At 57.3% G+C, this 16,453-nt stretch overlaps 1 protein-coding gene across 13 annotated transcripts, besides 4 other annotated features; it reads left to right on the top strand.

Annotated features, from left to right (window-relative positions):
• Nucleotides 925-984: a silencer, noted in NCBI's record as "silent region_1315". NCBI's record gives its function as "represses an Ori minimal core promoter by ATAC-STARR-seq in GM12878 lymphoblastoid cells {active_cell/tissue: GM12878}" and the evidence as "EXISTENCE:reporter gene assay evidence [ECO:0000049][PMID:35858748]".
• Nucleotides 1,195-1,654: a silencer, noted in NCBI's record as "silent region_1314". NCBI's record gives its function as "represses an Ori minimal core promoter by ATAC-STARR-seq in GM12878 lymphoblastoid cells {active_cell/tissue: GM12878}" and the evidence as "EXISTENCE:reporter gene assay evidence [ECO:0000049][PMID:35858748]".
• On the top strand, nucleotides 1,402-16,348 carry SEMA6C (semaphorin 6C). Of its 13 annotated transcripts, none has more exons than XM_047431842.1 (21): nucleotides 1,402-1,604; nucleotides 2,749-2,894; nucleotides 3,599-3,648; nucleotides 5,358-5,529; nucleotides 7,943-8,057; nucleotides 8,332-8,395; nucleotides 8,552-8,608; nucleotides 9,302-9,403; nucleotides 9,627-9,717; nucleotides 9,928-10,047; nucleotides 10,234-10,322; nucleotides 10,959-11,176; nucleotides 11,454-11,585; nucleotides 11,870-12,022; nucleotides 12,269-12,442; nucleotides 12,724-12,870; nucleotides 13,158-13,235; nucleotides 13,358-13,413; nucleotides 13,588-13,632; nucleotides 13,978-14,073; nucleotides 14,516-16,326. In XM_047431842.1, the coding sequence occupies exons 4-21, from the start codon at nucleotides 5,412-5,414 to the stop codon at nucleotides 15,547-15,549; spliced, it is 2,889 nt and encodes a 962-aa protein (XP_047287798.1). In that variant the 5' UTR covers nucleotides 1,402-1,604; nucleotides 2,749-2,894; nucleotides 3,599-3,648; nucleotides 5,358-5,411; the 3' UTR covers nucleotides 15,550-16,326. The 13 variants fall into 13 exon arrangements, with proteins under 13 accessions (XP_047287798.1, XP_047287732.1, XP_047287749.1 ...); XM_047431776.1 differs by having other exon boundaries at nucleotides 2,749-3,009; XM_047431793.1 differs by having other exon boundaries at nucleotides 2,749-3,019.
• Nucleotides 11,982-12,031: a silencer, noted in NCBI's record as "silent region_1313". NCBI's record gives its function as "represses an Ori minimal core promoter by ATAC-STARR-seq in GM12878 lymphoblastoid cells {active_cell/tissue: GM12878}" and the evidence as "EXISTENCE:reporter gene assay evidence [ECO:0000049][PMID:35858748]".
• Nucleotides 15,595-16,379: an enhancer, noted in NCBI's record as "H3K27ac-H3K4me1 hESC enhancer chr1:151104130-151104914 (GRCh37/hg19 assembly coordinates)". NCBI's record gives its function as "activates a minimal SCP1, AML or CMV promoter by ChIP-STARR-seq in naive H9 embryonic stem cells {active_cell/tissue: H9 hESC(naive)}" and the evidence as "EXISTENCE:reporter gene assay evidence [ECO:0000049][PMID:30033119]".

The following is a 16,453-nucleotide window of genomic DNA, read 5'->3' as shown; positions in this document are numbered from 1 at the left end:
TGAGTTACTGTTCATCTTACTGGTTCACCTGGCCTTAAATCTGTCTCTCTGTCTCTCTCTTTCTCTGTATGTGCGTGTGCACATGTGTGTGTATGTTTAGGTCTCTTGTGTACTCGCTGTGGGGCTTAGCCTAGTTGTTGATACTCCCCTCCCTGATCACAGTCCAGTTAAGGCTGGCCTAAAGTGGCAAACCCCTTCCCCCTCCTTTCCTCTAGTCCAGAGTCCAAGATGTGGGTAGAAGTGTTCAGTCAGATAAAACTATCTGAGAATGCCAGTGTCTCCCAGGCCACCCACTTTCCTGGAGAATTTTGAGAATGTCTTTTGTCCCAGCCCCACATAGAGAAGAATCCTACCAGGCAATACCAAGGTACCAAGCAATCCTGTCTGTAGTAGTTTATTCTTCCTCCTCACTGACATTCCCAGGGGCTTTATGAAGGGTGGGGAGGGAGAAGGGGCAGTTTTGCTGTTTGGAGGGATGTCACGGTCCTCTGAGGAAAGGTGGGACGTATGTCTGTGGGGCAGGAAGGCTGTGTGGGTTACTTTATCAAGTCTTAGCGTTGCTACTCTTTGTGCCTTTCTCTGAGTCAGTTAGTCTTGATTTCCACATCTGTTTTGGCTTCAGCCTCTCTCACCTGCCCTCTTCCATTACCCAACAGCCTGACTGCTAGCTAGTTCTTGCCATAGTGGCCCAAACTCATGCTGCTTTGTAGAGGTGGGAGGGGAGGAGATCATGGAAACAAGGGAAACCTCCTGCTGACACCTTCCTTTCCTTTCCCAGGCCTCCAGCCCCCACGCGCATGCTAGGCCTCCTTATCCGGGTCAGGACGAACCAGAGGAGGCCTACGGGGAGAAATAAGGAGACAGAGGGACAACGCATAGAGAGGAGCAACAGAGAGTTGGGGGCAGAGTCAGGGAGATGCGGGATGCGCCCTCGGGAGCAAGGTCGCCCAAGCCGTATAGGAGGGGAAGGGAGGACGGATCGCGCAGGCTCTGACAGCCCAGCCCAGCCCCGCGAGGCTCCCAGGTTTCCTGTCTGTTTCTCCTCCCAGCTCCTCTTCCTCTCTTGGGAAATTTCTCCCCAGAGCCTCTCCTGTGCCAGCCTGTCTCTGCTTCTGTATGTATTTCTTCCTCTGCCCGGTGTCGGCGACTGTCCGTGGGTCTCTCCATCTCGCGTCTGTCTCTGGTCTCCAGTTCAGCCTCCCGGCCTGGCCCTCTGGGTGGACGGTGCTCCTGGCGCCCCTCCCCGGGCAGCACTATTGGCGGAGAGGTGACGAGAAGGCGGTGTCTAGCCGCCCTCCGAGGGCGGGATTAGTCGCGGCGACCCAAAGGCGGGCAGGAGGTGGGCCCGGCTGGGAGGCGGGCGGGGCCACTGGGGCCGAGCCCAGAGCCCCGGGCGGTCGCATTGTTTTCCTCCGCGGATCCGCGGCTGGACTTGGACCCAGGGCTCTCCCGACAGCGCCCTGGAACCCAAATTCAAGCACCATCCAATTCGGACGCTCATCGCATCTCGCCTGAGCACAACCACGGATTGCGAACTCAGCGCAGCGCGTGGCCGCTGGCCGCCCGCGGCGATCTCGATCCCGCTGACCCGAATCCTGGAGCAAGTACCCCGGGCAGGGAAGGGGCTGCGGGGAGGCGGGGAGGGAGCAGGAGGGCGCGGCCGGCGGGGGGCAAGCTTCTGAAGCGCTAGGGGACCAGGGAGGTGTCGGCGCCCGGTGTGCCTGGCTGACGGAGAGGGTCAACGAAATTGGGGTGCAGGGAGGAAGGAGGGACAGTGGCCGAGCCCCGTAACTGTACTGGTGAGAGCAGAGTCTGGGCACCTCGTTCAATTGGGCTTTCGTCGAGTCGCATCCCGCTGGACTGGGAAGCGCGAAAAGGGATTATTTGAGGCGCGCTCCGTAGAGAGCGTGGAAAACCTGGCCCCTTGCTTTCCCAGCAAGGAAACTAGGGCTCCGAGACCCACGGAGAACTAGACCCTCCTGACGCCCCTGAAGGGATGGGAAGAGGGACGCATCGTTCCGGACTTTGTGTCACGGGTGCTCCTCTGTCCTTGTGCAAGCCGGAATCTGAGCACCCTCTGAAGGGTTGGCTCGTGCAAAGAGGCGGCGAATGGGGCCCTCGAGCAACATCGGTCCCAGCGCCTATCTCCTTCCTTCAGCCCGCTCGGCCCGGGGCTTTGTTAGACTGAGGTCTCCCAAGGAGGACATCCGAGCTGGCAACTGCCTCCTGAGCCCACGGTCCCCACTGAGCGCCGGCCTCAGGCCCGCCCTCGTCGGTTCTCAGCCTCTGGCCCTGTTTCCCTGGCCTGGGAGACCCGCCTCCGCTCCCCAACCCCCGCTCCTATCCCCTCTTCGTCTGCGCCTGCAGGCCCCTCCAGCCCCTCCTCTCGCTAACGTGGCTCTGGGACCCGGTCCCGGCCCAGACTCTGCTACCGGCCCCTCCTCGGAGCCCCGGATCCGGTGAGGGGGAGACAGGTCGAGCCCCTGGCCCTAGGCCCACCTCTTTTCGAGGCTTTAGACACCTGGATTGTCCTGGTTGGGGGTTGGGTGGGAAGGAGGGTAGGTGCTGAGTGTGGGGCTAAGAGCTAAGAGTGGGGGAAATGGCTTGGAGAAAGGAAAGCTCCGGTTCCACAGGCTCCTTGGCGCGACCCTGCTCCCTCTGAGGAAGGTGGACTGGGGCGGGCGACCAGCCCAAAGGCTTCCTGCTATTGTCCCCAGCCCAGTCTCCCCTTCTCCATCCCTTCCACAGCTCTCCTAGACTCTGGCTGTGACCCCAGCCATTCCCCAGAGGTGGCTTCGGGGCCAGGAGAGAGAAGGGCTGTTTCCTCTTCCCAGCAACGGGAGGATCTGGAAAGGGGAGAGTCGGCCAGGTCTCTCCCATGTGCTTCAGATGGGGTGTGTGAAGCAGCTCGGATTCTTCCAGGGCAGAGTGATCTTTTCTCCAGGCCAGGAGTTGAGGAGCTGACCAGATGCTGCTTCCCAGAAACAGCTACAAGAAGCCCTCTTAAAGGTGTATCATAGTTGAGTCTAGAAGGCCAATGCAAAGGCCAGCCAAGTGTTTGTAGAGGCTGGACTAATCCAGCCTAAAGTGGGGTGTGAGTGTGTGTGTGTGTAGACTGAGTGGAAGGGAGGCACAGCCTGCTCTCTCAGGGAGGAAGGAAAGGGTTGAGGGTGCTTGCTATCAGATCATTTTGCCTGGAAATGAAGAGCATGTAAATGAGATGCAAATTAGCCTCTATTGTCCCTAGCTAAGGCGCTTTTGCTAAGAAGGCTGTTGGATTCTGAGGGCCTTAACATGGGAGTGGTCGCCATGCCCCACAAACTCTCCCAGTGACCCCCTTTGCCAAGGCTAGCCCTGTAGTTCTAGCAGTTTCTAGAAAGGGGCCATCCCCTTCCCCTGCATCTCTGGGCATAAAGCCACCAGCACCTTTGTAACCAAACTATTAAGAAGTGTCATCAGCCCCCTCCCATTTTCAAGGCAGCATCTCCCCTACCCAAGCGTCAGCAGACTTTTCTTGAATTTTTACATTTACTTGTAAGGGATGTGGTAAGGGGAGCATAATGCAGTCTCTTCTCTCCTTTGTCCTGTCTTCCATCAGGTCAGAGGTTTCCTATCCCCCTCAAGCCCCCACAGGAGTCACCAACCCAGGTAAGGAAAGGGCAGCAGCTCCTGAGGGCAGGGGGTGGAAGCAGGCATGAGCAGGGAGCAGAAAGAGGGGCTGGCTCTTCTCCTCACTTGCCAGAGACCAAAGTTGTTTCCAGGGTGAAGATACCAGTTGCTCAGGGCAACTTGGAGGCAGGGGGGTGGTGGGGAGAGCAGGTTGGGGAGGATGAGAGACAAGCTACGTCCCTTTCTCTTCCCCTGGGAACAACAGTATCCGGAAACATGTCGGGGGAGGGAGGAAGGCCCAGCCTTTCAACACCAGAGGGTCGTTAGCTAGCTGCTACTCTGCCCTGGGGAAGGGGGGTCATCATTAGGTGTTCCTACTCTTTTCCTTTCTTCAGCTCTCTTGAGGCCCCACCTGACGTCAGCCTCCCCACCAGTGATGCTGGATTGGGGGTGGGGGGACACTTGGGTCCTGGCTGGGAGAGTAGAATTACTGGGGAGATGGAAGGGGGCTTGGCCTGGAAGCTTAGGGTCTGTTTTAGGGGACACGGTGGGATGGGCAACTAAGGATTGGTGAAGGATAGTTATCTGTTCACAAAAGAAAGGAGTCTCACCCTTCTTGACCTGATTTTTGGAGCCGACCAAGTCCCTCACTTCAATTTTAGGGGAAGGCAGGAAGCTGGTGTATACCTCCTGCTGTGGGCCCCAGCCAGGGTCATTTGGCTGAGGGAGGCTGATGGTGGAAGGAGACCTGTCTCACCATCTCTTCCACCATATCCATCTTTTCCTGGACTTTGGGCTACAATTACCTGCCTGTCACTGAATAATTTATATTTTAATTTCAGAGGCAGCAGATGAGGGAAGGAAGGGAGAGAGGCGCACGTTTAGCCATTTTGCTTCACTAGTCCCTTGTACCCCTGGCTTCTCATAGGGGGTGGGTCTGCTCTTCCCCCCTCAAGTACATGCACTGGTTCTTAGGAGCCAGGGAAGGAGCAGGGGGCTAGAGAGCCTGGAGGGGGTGGCACAGTGGTCGGGCAGACAGCTGCAGCCAGAGCTAAATTTAGCCTCTGATCTGGCTTTGATGCAGATTCATTTTTGGCGAAGACAGTCCCCCCCACCAACTCTCCTCCCTACTCAGTTCTTCCCTAGCGGTGGGAAGGGCCCCTGAAGCATGAGCTTAGACCAGCACAGTGACCTCTAGGCTGCCTCCCCCAACTGTGTCTTCCTCAACTCTAGAAAGGACAGTGTCAGCCACACGGCTGCCCCCGCCTAGGCGCAGTGCCTGCATTGCTCCCAGGGTGCCGTGGGGGTCTGGGAGGGAGGGGGAGTCAGACATGGTGCCCTTTTCCTCCTCCCAGTGCCAAGGAGTCACTATTTATAATTTTAAGGCTTCAGTCTCTAATTATAGCTGAGAAGGGGTTAGCAAGAGGGGGGCCAGGAGGTGTCACCTACTGAATGTCCCAGACCCAGTCAGGAGAGAAGAGGAAAAGCTGAGATGGGGGTGGGTGTGTCCTGTCCTTACCTGGGGTCATGCAGGCAGGCCTCACACCAGCCAGTTTGGGCCAGTTGCAGAGGGAAGGGCCTTGAGTGACAATGACAGCTGGCTGGAACTGGGGCAGTGCTGGAGAGAGGGTTCTTTTCCCCCACCCCACAGGGTCTTCTGGGGATACACCAGGAGAGGAGCCTGCTGGCTTGCTTCAGGGGAGAGGGAACTTCGCTCCTCCCCCACTTTTCCCTGTCTCCCCTTTCAGGGCCGGCTTATGGGTGAGGGGGCACCCCCTGGGGCCTGAGCTGCCCCGCACAGGATGCCCCGTGCCCCCCACTTCATGCCCTTGCTGCTACTGCTGCTGCTGCTCTCACTTCCCCATACTCAGGCCGCCTTTCCCCAGGACCCCCTCCCTCTGTTGATCTCTGACCTTCAAGGTGAGTGCCCAGTACCTACCTTGCCCCATCTCTGTGAACAATTAGAGACTGAGACCCCCTGTGTGGGAGGCAAGGTGCAGGAAGGCTCCCAGCCTCAGGAAGCTAACAGCCAGACCAGCAAAAAGAAGGAAACAGGTAGAGTGAGCTGACACCTCCTGCCAGCTGCTTCTCATCCCTGGGCCTGGTTTCTTCACTTAGAGGCAGCATCGTGTGGAGGTTAAGAGCATGGGCTCTCCAGGAGATTGAGACCATCCTGGCTAACACGGTGAAACCCCATCTCTACTAAAAATACAAAAAAAAATAGCCGGACATTGTGGCGGGCGCCTGTAGTCCCAGCTACTCGGGAGGCTGAGGCGGGAGAATGGCATGAACCCGGAAGGCGGAGCTTGCAGTGAGCGGATATCGCTGCACTCCAGCCTGGGCAACAGAGCGAGACTCCGTCTCAAAAAAAAAAAAAAAAGAACATGGACTCTCAGCTAGACCAAACCTTAGCAGGTTTGAATCCCTGCCAAGCTGCTCACTAGCTGTGTGACCTTGGTTAAGTTACTTAACCTTTCTTTGTCTCAGTCTCCTCAGCTGTAAAATGAATATAATAGTATTCTGAGCCAGTGGTGGGTACTCAGGAGGCTGAGGCAGGAAGATCACTTGAGCCCAGGATGTAGTGCTCTGTGATGGCGCCTGTGAATAGCCACTGCAGTCCAGCCTGGGCAACACAGCCAGAGTCATCCCACCCCCCAACCCCCATCCCATCTCTTTAAAAAAAAAAAAAAAGCCGATTAAAAAAAAAAAGTCAGCTGGGCACGGTGGCTTTACACCTGTAATCCCAGCACTTTGGGAGGCCAAGGTAGGCGGATCACCTGAGGTCAGGAGTTCGAGACCTGCCTGGCTAACATGGTGGAACCCCGTTTCTACTAAAAATACAAAAAATTAGCCAGGCTTGGTGGCGTGTGCCTGTAACCCCAGCTACTTGGGTGGCTGAGGCAGGAGAATTGCTTGAACCCAGGAGGCGGAGGTTGCAGTGAGCCGAGATCGCGCCATTTCACTCTAGCATGGGCAACAAGAGTGAAGCTCCGTCTCAAAAAACAAAAAACAAAAGTCTTCTACCTCATGGAATTATTTAGGGATTAAATGAGGTTATACATGTAAAGTGCTGAGAAGACTGTATGGCACAAAGTAAATGCTTTATATGTGTTTCCTGTTATTCTTAGCTACATAGAGAAGGTCTAATACTAGTTCAGTGGTTCCCAACACCTCTTACTCGCCTCTCTACCACTGGTACCACCCACCAATAAGCCCACCATGATAGAAAGCATAAACCCACTTTTTCTGAGAAGAACCTTTATCTATTTGCAGTTCCGGTTATATTTGTAGGATTTAGAGTAATTTTAAGGATAGAGGAGCTGCAGTTGGGTTACTGAGAGTAATTGTTGAGGGATATATAAGAATAGCAAACACTCCTATGTGCTAGAAGCAGCTCCAAGCACATTATGAATTTTTTTTTTTTTCGAGACGGAGTCTTGCACTGTTGCCCAGGCTAGAGTGCAGTGGCGTGATCTCGGCTCACTGCAAGCTCCGCCTCCTGGGTTCACGCCATTCTCCTGCCTCAGCCTCCCGAGTAGCTGGGACTACAGGCGCCCGCCACCACGCCTGGCTAATTTTGTTTTTGTATTTTTAGTAGAGATGGGGTTTCACCATGTTAGCCAGGATGGTCTCGATCTCCTGACCTTGTGATCCGCCCGCCTCGGCCTCCCAAAGTGCTGGGATTACAGGCGTGAGCCACCGCTCCCAGCTGAGCACATTATAAATGTTAAATCATTTATCCCTGAACTCTGGCTATCCTTTGACCACTGATGACTGTGGTTTCCACCACGATCAGGCCAGGTGGATGCTGGAGGTGAGGTGGTCAGAGGAGGCAGAAACCTTGGAGGGCTGAGGTGGCCTGTGAAGAGCCTTGAGGGGAGGGTGCAGAGGGCTGGGAGAAACGGAGTGAATAAATGCTCCAGTGGGACAGTGCACAAGGTGGGAGTGAAAGGAAATTGCTAGCCCTAAGGCAGTTCCAAGAAGGGACTAGGCTCAACTCCAGAGGCAGACAGACCTGGATCTGAATCCTGATACCTGCCACTTCCCAGCTAAATGAGCAAATTCCTAAATGGCTTCTAGTCTCAGGCTCCTCATCTGTAAAATGGGGCCAAAGCTACCTCATAGGACCATGTATTAAATGAGACAATGCGTGTAAAGTGCTAACACTGTGTTTGGCAGAGATTAAGTACTCAGTGTTATTGGTATTAAGAATAGCTTTTGGGCACTCTAACCTCACACATCCACTGTGTCCACTGCTGGGTTTCATCTGGTTGGAGAGGGTGTTGGGGAAGTTTGTGGTATCCTCAGAATCCTATCTCTCTGTGTCCTCAAGGTACTTCCCCATTATCCTGGTTTCGGGGCCTGGAGGATGATGCTGTGGCTGCAGAACTTGGGCTGGACTTTCAGAGATTCCTGACCTTGAACCGGACCTTGCTAGTGGCTGCCCGGTAAACTGGCCGTGGCACAGTTGTGGGGCAGACATGCATGCTCCTGGGCAGACTTGGGACCTGTATGGCCACTGTAGCATCTTGCAGGGGACACATGCAGGTGCACAAGCCACGGGGTGTGGACATGCTTGGACCCAGAGCACAAATGCCAAGGCATGGAGGAAGGGGGAAGGGGAGGGCCAGAAGGTCTGCACTGTTTGTCCCTGAACAGCTGACTGTGGGTAAAGTGGGGTGCCTTGACTAGGCTCTGACCCCTCCTTACCTACCCCCTCAGGGATCACGTTTTCTCCTTCGATCTTCAAGCCGAAGAAGAAGGGGAGGGGCTGGTGCCCAACAAGGTGAGGGGCTGTGTGGGAAGAGGTGCAGACGTGGAGATGAGGCTGGGAAAGGTCTAATGTGGGTCAGGTGGGTGGGAAGAAGAATCTAAAAGGAGCCATAATGTGAGGAGGGAACCCAGTTGCCCATGATTTTCCCTCTTCAACTTATCCCTTCAGTATCTAACATGGAGAAGCCAAGATGTGGAGAACTGTGCTGTACGGGGAAAGCTGACGGTAAGGAGTGAGACGAGAATGTGGAGGGAAGGAGAGGATTACTCTGCCCCCAGTCTCTGTCCAACTGGTCCTCTACTATGCCCAATTTCCTTCACACTTTTTCCATCCCAGGCCACAGGGGAAAATGAGAAGGAAAGAGAATTCCTGATTTTCAGTTTCTCTTACATGCCTCACAAAAAAGAAAAGTGAGGCTCAGAGAGGCCAAAGGATTTGCAGAAGGCCAGAGGGCCAGCAAACAGCTTATTTGGGACTTTATCTCACATTGCTCTGTTGGGCTCCAGAGGAGTAGCCCACCTTTCTTTCTTTTCTTTTCTTTTTTTTTTTTTTTTTTTGAGACGGAGTCTCAGTCTGTTGCCCAGACTGGAGTGCAATGGCACGATCTTGGCTCACTGCAACCTCCGCCTCCGTGGTTCAAGCATTTCTCCTGCCTCAGCCTCCCAAGTAGCTGGGATTACAGGCACATGCTGCTACACCCAGCTAATTTTTTGTATTTTAGTAGAAATGGGGTTTCACCGTGTTGCCCAGGCTGGTCTTGAACTCCTGAACTCAGGCAACCTGCCCACCTTGGCCTCCCAAAGTGCTAGGATTACAGGCGTGAGCCACCACGCCCGCCCTGTAAGCCCACCTTTCTATTACCTCCTGTTCTCAGTCCCAGGACCCTCTGTCACTGACCTAGAATTTTGGGTTCTCTAGGATGAGTGCTACAACTATATTCGTGTTCTTGTTCCCTGGGACTCCCAGACGCTCCTTGCCTGTGGAACGAACTCATTCAGCCCTGTGTGCCGCAGCTATGGGGTACAAAAGAGAGGGTGGGGGTTAGGATGGGAGTTGGGGGGACCCCAAGATGGGCAATGGGTTTGATGGGAAAGGACCAAGGACTGCGGTTGGGGAATGGGAGTGCCCAGAATGCAAGGGTCCAGAGGGGTTGGGGAGGAGGCAACGGGACAGGAGGGAATAGGCTATGGAGCCAGACTCCAAGACCCTAAAGGTTCCAGGCATCTGCTCCCTCTGCCCTCAGATAACTTCGCTGCAGCAGGAGGGTGAGGAACTGAGTGGGCAGGCTCGATGCCCCTTTGATGCCACCCAGTCCAACGTGGCCATCTTTGCAGGTGTGCAACTGGGCATGTGAGAAGAAAGCATGTGGCTGGAGGGAGCTCCCACCTTAGCTCCTCTCCCAGTGGGTCTTTCCCCCATTCCCCTGAGTGGAGGGTTGAGGTAGGGACCAGGGCCAGGCCTAGGTAGGGGTGCAGGAGGCCCAAGAAGAGGCAGGATACAGATCCCTGAGCCCTCCCCTGACCCCACTCCACCCATCCCTCCAGAGGGCAGCCTGTACTCAGCCACAGCTGCGGATTTCCAGGCCAGTGATGCTGTAGTTTACAGAAGCCTTGGGCCCCAGCCCCCACTCCGCTCCGCCAAGTATGACTCCAAGTGGCTCCGAGGTCAGGGCGGGCCTGGGGAAAGGAGACTGTTATTGGGGAGGAGGCACAGAGGGAGGACTGTGGCGGGGAGCAGGCAAATGGTGTGGTAGTGTGTATGTATGCAATGGGGAGAGCGGTGTGGGGCCAGGAGCTTCTGAGCAGGTACAGATACTCTTCTATACCCTTTCCTGTCATTCCCCATCTTAGAGCCACACTTTGTCCAGGCCTTGGAGCATGGAGACCATGTCTACTTCTTCTTCCGCGAGGTCTCTGTGGAGGATGCTCGGCTGGGGAGGGTAAGGAGGTGGGCATCAGGGTGGGTAGCTGGAGGGTTCTGCTGGATCCTGAGGAGCCAGTCTGAGTGGGAGGAGATCTCCTGACCATAATCTCCACAAAGCAATCCCCTGGACTCTCACCCCTCAACTTGGAATAGCCCCAAGCCCTCTGACCCCACATCCTGCTTGTCCCTCACCCTTGACCCAAGTTGACCTACCATGCCATACCCTTCATTCACTGTGCCCCTCACATTGCTCCCTTGGTGCTCTTTTTTTTTTTTTTTTTGAGACGGAGTCTTGCTCTGTCGCCCAGGCTGGAGTGCAGTGGCGCCATCTTGGCTCACTGCAAGCTCCGCCTCCTGGCTTCACGCCATTCTCCTGCCTCAGCCTCCCGAGCAGCTGGGACTACAGGTGCCCACCACCATGCCCGGCTAATTTGTTTGTATTTTTAGTAGAGATGGGGTTTCACCATGTTAGCCAGGATGGTCTCGATCTCCTGACCTCGTGATCCACCCACCTCAGCCTCCCAAAGTGTTGGGATTACAGGCGTGAGCCACCGCGCCCAGCCCCTTACTGCTCTTAACTCACCACACTCCTTGCATGCAGCTGGCCCTGTGGGTCTGTCTCACCATTGTCTACTCCACTCTCCTCCCCTAGGTGCAGTTCTCCCGCGTAGCCCGAGTATGTAAACGTGACATGGGCGGCTCGCCTCGGGCCTTGGACCGCCACTGGACATCCTTCCTGAAGCTTCGGCTCAACTGCTCTGTCCCTGGGGACTCTACTTTCTATTTTGATGTTTTACAGGCCTTGACTGGGCCTGTGAACCTGCATGGCCGCTCTGCTCTCTTTGGGGTCTTCACCACCCAGACCAATAGGTTGGTACTAGGCTGACTAGTGTGACCCAATCTGTCCCCTGCCTCACCAGCCTCCAAACTCCCCTTTCACAGCCTACTGATGGGGCAGTTAAGGGAACCTCCGAACAAAGCCAGTTTGCTGTGTTGCCATTTTTTCTCCTAGTGTGGCACCCAGTGGCTGCCCCACCTCCTCAGTCTCTATCTCTTAATGTGGTATGAAGGGTGCCACCACTTCTTCCTGGGGGAAGTTGTGCAGTTCCTTTCAGCACCTATCCTGCATCTTTTCTGGCTCCTCCAGCATCCCTGGCTCTGCCGTCTGCGCCTTCTACCTGGATGAGATTGAGCGTGGGTTTGAGGGCAAGTTCAAGGAGCAGAGGAGTCTGGATGGGGCCTGGACTCCTGTGTCTGAGGACAGAGTTCCCTCACCCAGGTACCCAGGATGGAGTTGTTTTTGTGGGGGCAGAAGCAAGCAGCGTCTGCCCCCAAGATGGGATTGTGAGGAGGTAATGAGATGTCCAAGGCCTCAGGGTGGGGAGCTATAGTGGGGTGGCAGTGGGGCCGAAGAGCTGCGGCAGGGAAGGGGACAGTGCTACGAGTGTCTGTGTGGAGGGGGAGCAAGGCTTTCCAGTCAGGTTTGGGAGCAGTAGGGGGCACAGAGGTTAACTAAGCTCCAGCTCCCAGTCCAAAGGCAGCCCCTTCCCATTCACCCACCAGGCCAGGATCCTGTGCAGGAGTAGGGGGAGCTGCCTTGTTCTCCTCTTCCCGAGACCTCCCTGATGATGTCCTGACCTTCATCAAGGCTCACCCGCTGCTGGACCCCGCTGTACCACCTGTCACCCATCAGCCTCTACTCACTCTCACTAGCAGGTATGGGGCTGAAAAACACTGACCACTGCCTCCCTGTTCTCAGCCACCCTCCTCTTTCTTTGACCCAACAAGGTAAACCGCATTGGTGGGAGGAAGAACTTGTGAAAGTAGAAGGGAGAGAGCTAAGAAGGCAACCCTGGGGCCTGGGGGAAGGGCACAGGCACAGCTACCAAGGCAGTTGGGCTCTCCCTGAAATGCTCAGGTTTCCACTAGACAGGTTCCCTGACCTGAGGCCCTTTCCTCCAGGGCCCTACTGACCCAAGTAGCTGTGGATGGCATGGCTGGTCCCCACAGTAACATCACAGTCATGTTCCTTGGCTCCAATGATGGGACAGTGCTGAAGGTGCTGACCCCAGGTGGGCGATCCGGGGGACCTGAGCCCATCCTCCTGGAAGAGATTGATGCCTACAGCCCTGCCCGGTGAGGCCTTTGGAGGGCAGGCCCCCTGCAAAGCAGGGAGGGGATGGGAGGTAGCAGCTGCAGATTCGGGAATAGGTTGGAAACATCAACATTGGCTTTTGCAGGGTGGGAGCTCTGGGCTAGACAGGCTTGGCGAGAAGACTGGACAGTGTGGTAGGGCGGGGCAGCTCCATGGGTTGTGCTCAGTTGCTTGTGTGCCTCCCCGCTTTCTGTTCTTCCACTCACTCAGGGAAAAGGTAGCCTCATCTGTCCATCTCTGGTTCCTTCTGGCCTCACCCTAGGTGCAGTGGGAAGCGGACAGCCCAAACAGCACGACGGATCATAGGGCTGGAGCTGGACACTGAGGGTCACAGGCTTTTTGTGGCTTTTTCTGGCTGTATTGTCTACCTCCCTCTCAGCCGGTGTGCCCGGCATGGGGCCTGTCAGAGGTGAGAGGGGCCTGAGGCCAGGCCCTGTGTGGGCAAGCTCCCCGGGCCAGCAAGAGCACAGAAACACAGGTCTTTGGGGTGGCAGGAAAACACAGGGGATGGCTGTGGGGTGCCTAGGTACCTCAAGCATTCTGAAGGTGGGCAGCAACCAGGGTGTGGAGAGACTGAGGTGGACAGGAGAGAATGAGGCTGGGAGCCTCCTGTAAGCCAGGGTGGGAAAAGGCAGCAGAATGGAAAGTGACTGGAGTAGAAAGGGATCCAGCCTCACACACCTCCGTTTTCCCTAGGAGCTGTTTGGCTTCTCAGGACCCATACTGTGGATGGCATAGCTCCAGGGGCTGTGTGGATATCAGGGGATCTGGTGGGTAAGTGATGGGTCCTTGGGTTTCCTGAGCATAAAATTCCCCACCAATAAGACAAGCTGAGGGCCAGAGTGGGAGATACGGACAACGTACAGAATTCTATAGCCACTTCGTTTTCCTCCTAGGACTGATGTGGATCAGGCTGGGAACCAGGAATCCATGGAGCATGGTGACTGCCAAGGTAAACAGAAGAGGCAGCTGCTGTTGCAGCCAAAGCTGCACATGGCCATGATGGCCACAGACACCATCCCAGGCTTGGCCTTTTGTCCTTCTCTCCTTCTGTGGCACAGTCACCCCATCAGTTCTTCATGAAGCTTCTCTTTCCCCCCATCTTCACCCTGTCCCTTCTTCATAGATGGAGCTACTGGGAGTCAGTCTGGCCCTGGGGATTCTGCTTATGGTGAGTCCTCTTGTCCCAACCTCACCTTCCCTTGCTCAGCCCACATACCTGAGTGTGTGTCCTGTAGCAGCAGCAGAGCAGCATTCTGAATACCCTGGGAGTATCGGAAAAGGGTCGGCATCCTCCAGATACCCAGCATGTAGCTCAGTACTTGGCACACAGTAGGGTACTTTTTGAACAAATAAATCAATGTCCTGCATGATGAGCCCTTCCCCAGGCCCAGAAGAAACTAGAGGCTGGCGTTCTGGACTCCTGGGTTCCACAGGAGGGAGGAAGGACCCCTGGAAGGGTGTCAGGGGTAGAGATCAAGAGCCTCACTGGCTCTGACCTGGTCTCTGCCACCAGTGCTTCCGGGTCCTGGCCCTTCCCCTGGGACCCCCAGTCCTCCCAGTGATGCCCACCCCCGGCCCCAGTCTTCCACTCTTGGAGTTCACACTCGGGGTAAGGGGGCTACTTGGGAGAGATAGGAGTGAAGTGTGGGGCTGCTGATTCTCGGAGCGTTCTAAGCCCCTCACTGAATGGTGTTTGGTGCTCACTAACGCCTGTTTGGAGCCTCCCTTCCCCAGAATTGGGCATCCCAGCCCCGAGTTCTCCTGCACGAGCAGTTTTTGGCAGTTGCTCTTGGCATGGCTACAGGGGCCAGAAGTGGGATGGGGAATCCCCAGGCCCAAGCTCTGGCCTGAGTGTGAGGGGTAGTGCGTGGGCTGTATGCTGAGGAGTCAGGAGAGGTGAATCCTGAGGATGGTGGAGGCTGTAGGAGTGAGGCTGAGTAGCAGCGGGAGGGACGATGATGTCAGGCCTGGGAACTGCCGGCGCCTCTGGGCCTAGGTACCCCGCACCGCCTCCCCTTGGCTGAGCCTCCCTCCTCCCTCTCGGTCGGCAGGCGTGCGCCGGGACCTGCCCCCAGCCTCGGCCTCCCGCTCCGTCCCCATCCCACTCCTCCTGGCCAGTGTGGCCGCAGCTTTTGCCCTGGGCGCCTCAGTCTCTGGCCTCCTGGTCTCCTGTGCTTGTCGCCGCGCCCACCGACGTCGGGGCAAGGACATCGAGACTCCGGGGCTCCCGCGCCCTCTCTCCCTCCGCAGTTTGGCCCGGCTCCACGGTGGGGGCCCAGAGCCCCCGCCGCCCTCCAAGGACGGGGACGCGGTGCAGACGCCGCAGCTCTACACCACCTTCCTGCCGCCTCCGGAGGGCGTGCCCCCGCCGGAGCTGGCCTGCCTGCCCACCCCCGAGTCCACGCCGGAGCTGCCGGTCAAGCACCTCCGCGCCGCCGGGGACCCCTGGGAGTGGAACCAGAACAGGAACAACGCCAAGGAGGGTCCGGGCCGCTCACGGGGCGGGCACGCGGCGGGCGGGCCCGCGCCCCGCGTGCTGGTGAGGCCACCGCCGCCCGGCTGTCCCGGGCAGGCCGTGGAAGTCACCACCCTGGAGGAACTGCTGCGCTACCTGCACGGCCCGCAGCCGCCCAGAAAGGGGGCCGAGCCCCCCGCCCCTTTAACCTCGCGGGCGCTCCCGCCGGAGCCCGCCCCCGCCCTCTTGGGCGGCCCCAGCCCCAGGCCCCACGAGTGCGCCTCGCCGCTGAGGCTGGACGTGCCCCCCGAGGGCAGGTGCGCCTCTGCCCCCGCCCGGCCCGCGCTCTCCGCCCCCGCTCCCCGGCTGGGCGTCGGCGGAGGCCGGAGGTTGCCTTTCTCCGGCCACCGGGCCCCCCCTGCCCTGCTCACTCGAGTCCCCTCGGGAGGTCCCTCCAGGTACTCCGGGGGTCCCGGGAAGCACCTCCTGTACCTGGGCCGGCCCGAGGGCTACCGGGGCCGCGCCCTGAAAAGGGTGGACGTCGAGAAGCCCCAGTTGTCCCTGAAGCCTCCCCTCGTCGGGCCCTCCTCCCGCCAGGCCGTCCCGAACGGCGGCCGTTTCAACTTTTAAAGGGAGCGGCCCACGGCCTCCAGCGTGGGGAGCGCCCGAGTCCTCTCGGCCACGAGCTGGACGCTCTTCAGGACGTTTCACCGCCCCCTCGCCCCGCACCTCCAGCCTTCCCGACTCGCAGAGTCTCCCGAGGCCCCTTTTCGCCTCGGGTTTATTTATTGACTGTCTTTCCCCCTGTCCTCGACAGAAGAGTGGGAGGTGAGAAGCCCGTCTCCTCAGTGAGCCAGCATTTCAGGGGGAGCTGGCGGACTCCCACTCCCCGCTCCCTTCCAGCCAAGCTGCCTTAACTCGCCCCTCGGGGCTCCCCCAGAGACTGTGCCCCGGGCGGGCCGCGCGCGCTGTGTCCAGAGTCCTCGGGCCTTCTGGGTCTGGGACGTGCCTCTCCTACTGTGTAGGAGCCTCCGCTTCCCAATACAGCCGTGTCTGCAGCCACTGCCTGACTTCACTCGGGCGGGGGAGGGCGGCAGTCGGTCGGCTCGCTCTGGGCGCCCTCGCTCTCTGCCTTCATCTGGGCCCTGGGCTCTCCCGGGTAATGGGATGGCTGCGGTCCCGCCGGGGGGCAGTCTGGAAAGGTTTCCTAAAGGAGACGAGCGAATTAACGGTGTCGAGGTGAGCCAGGGCCAGGGGGACCCCGGTAAAGTTTAGTTGAGGCTGGGGAAGGCCCTCGGAGCTCGTTTCCAGATCGAGGTAAGAGGGACTTTCTTAAAGGCCTAGTCTATGGGATGGGGCGGCGGAGGGAATTTTTTGAGAAATAAAATGAAGCTGCAGTGTACGTTACTTGAAGTTCCACATCAGAAAATCTTGTCCTTAGGAGAATTTGTCTGGCAGATTTTGGGTTGCATGAGGGGTAGGCTACAAAAAACAGCAAAGTATTCGTCCCTGTTGGAGGCAAGGGTCTGCCCCC

The sequence above is a fragment of the Homo sapiens genome, chromosome 1 (genome assembly GCF_000001405.40).
Source record: "Homo sapiens chromosome 1, GRCh38.p14 Primary Assembly".
Classification (NCBI taxonomy): Eukaryota; Metazoa; Chordata; class Mammalia; order Primates; family Hominidae; genus Homo; species Homo sapiens.
The sequence above is the reverse complement of the archived record's forward strand: the minus strand, read 5'-3'. Positions and strand labels throughout refer to the sequence as shown.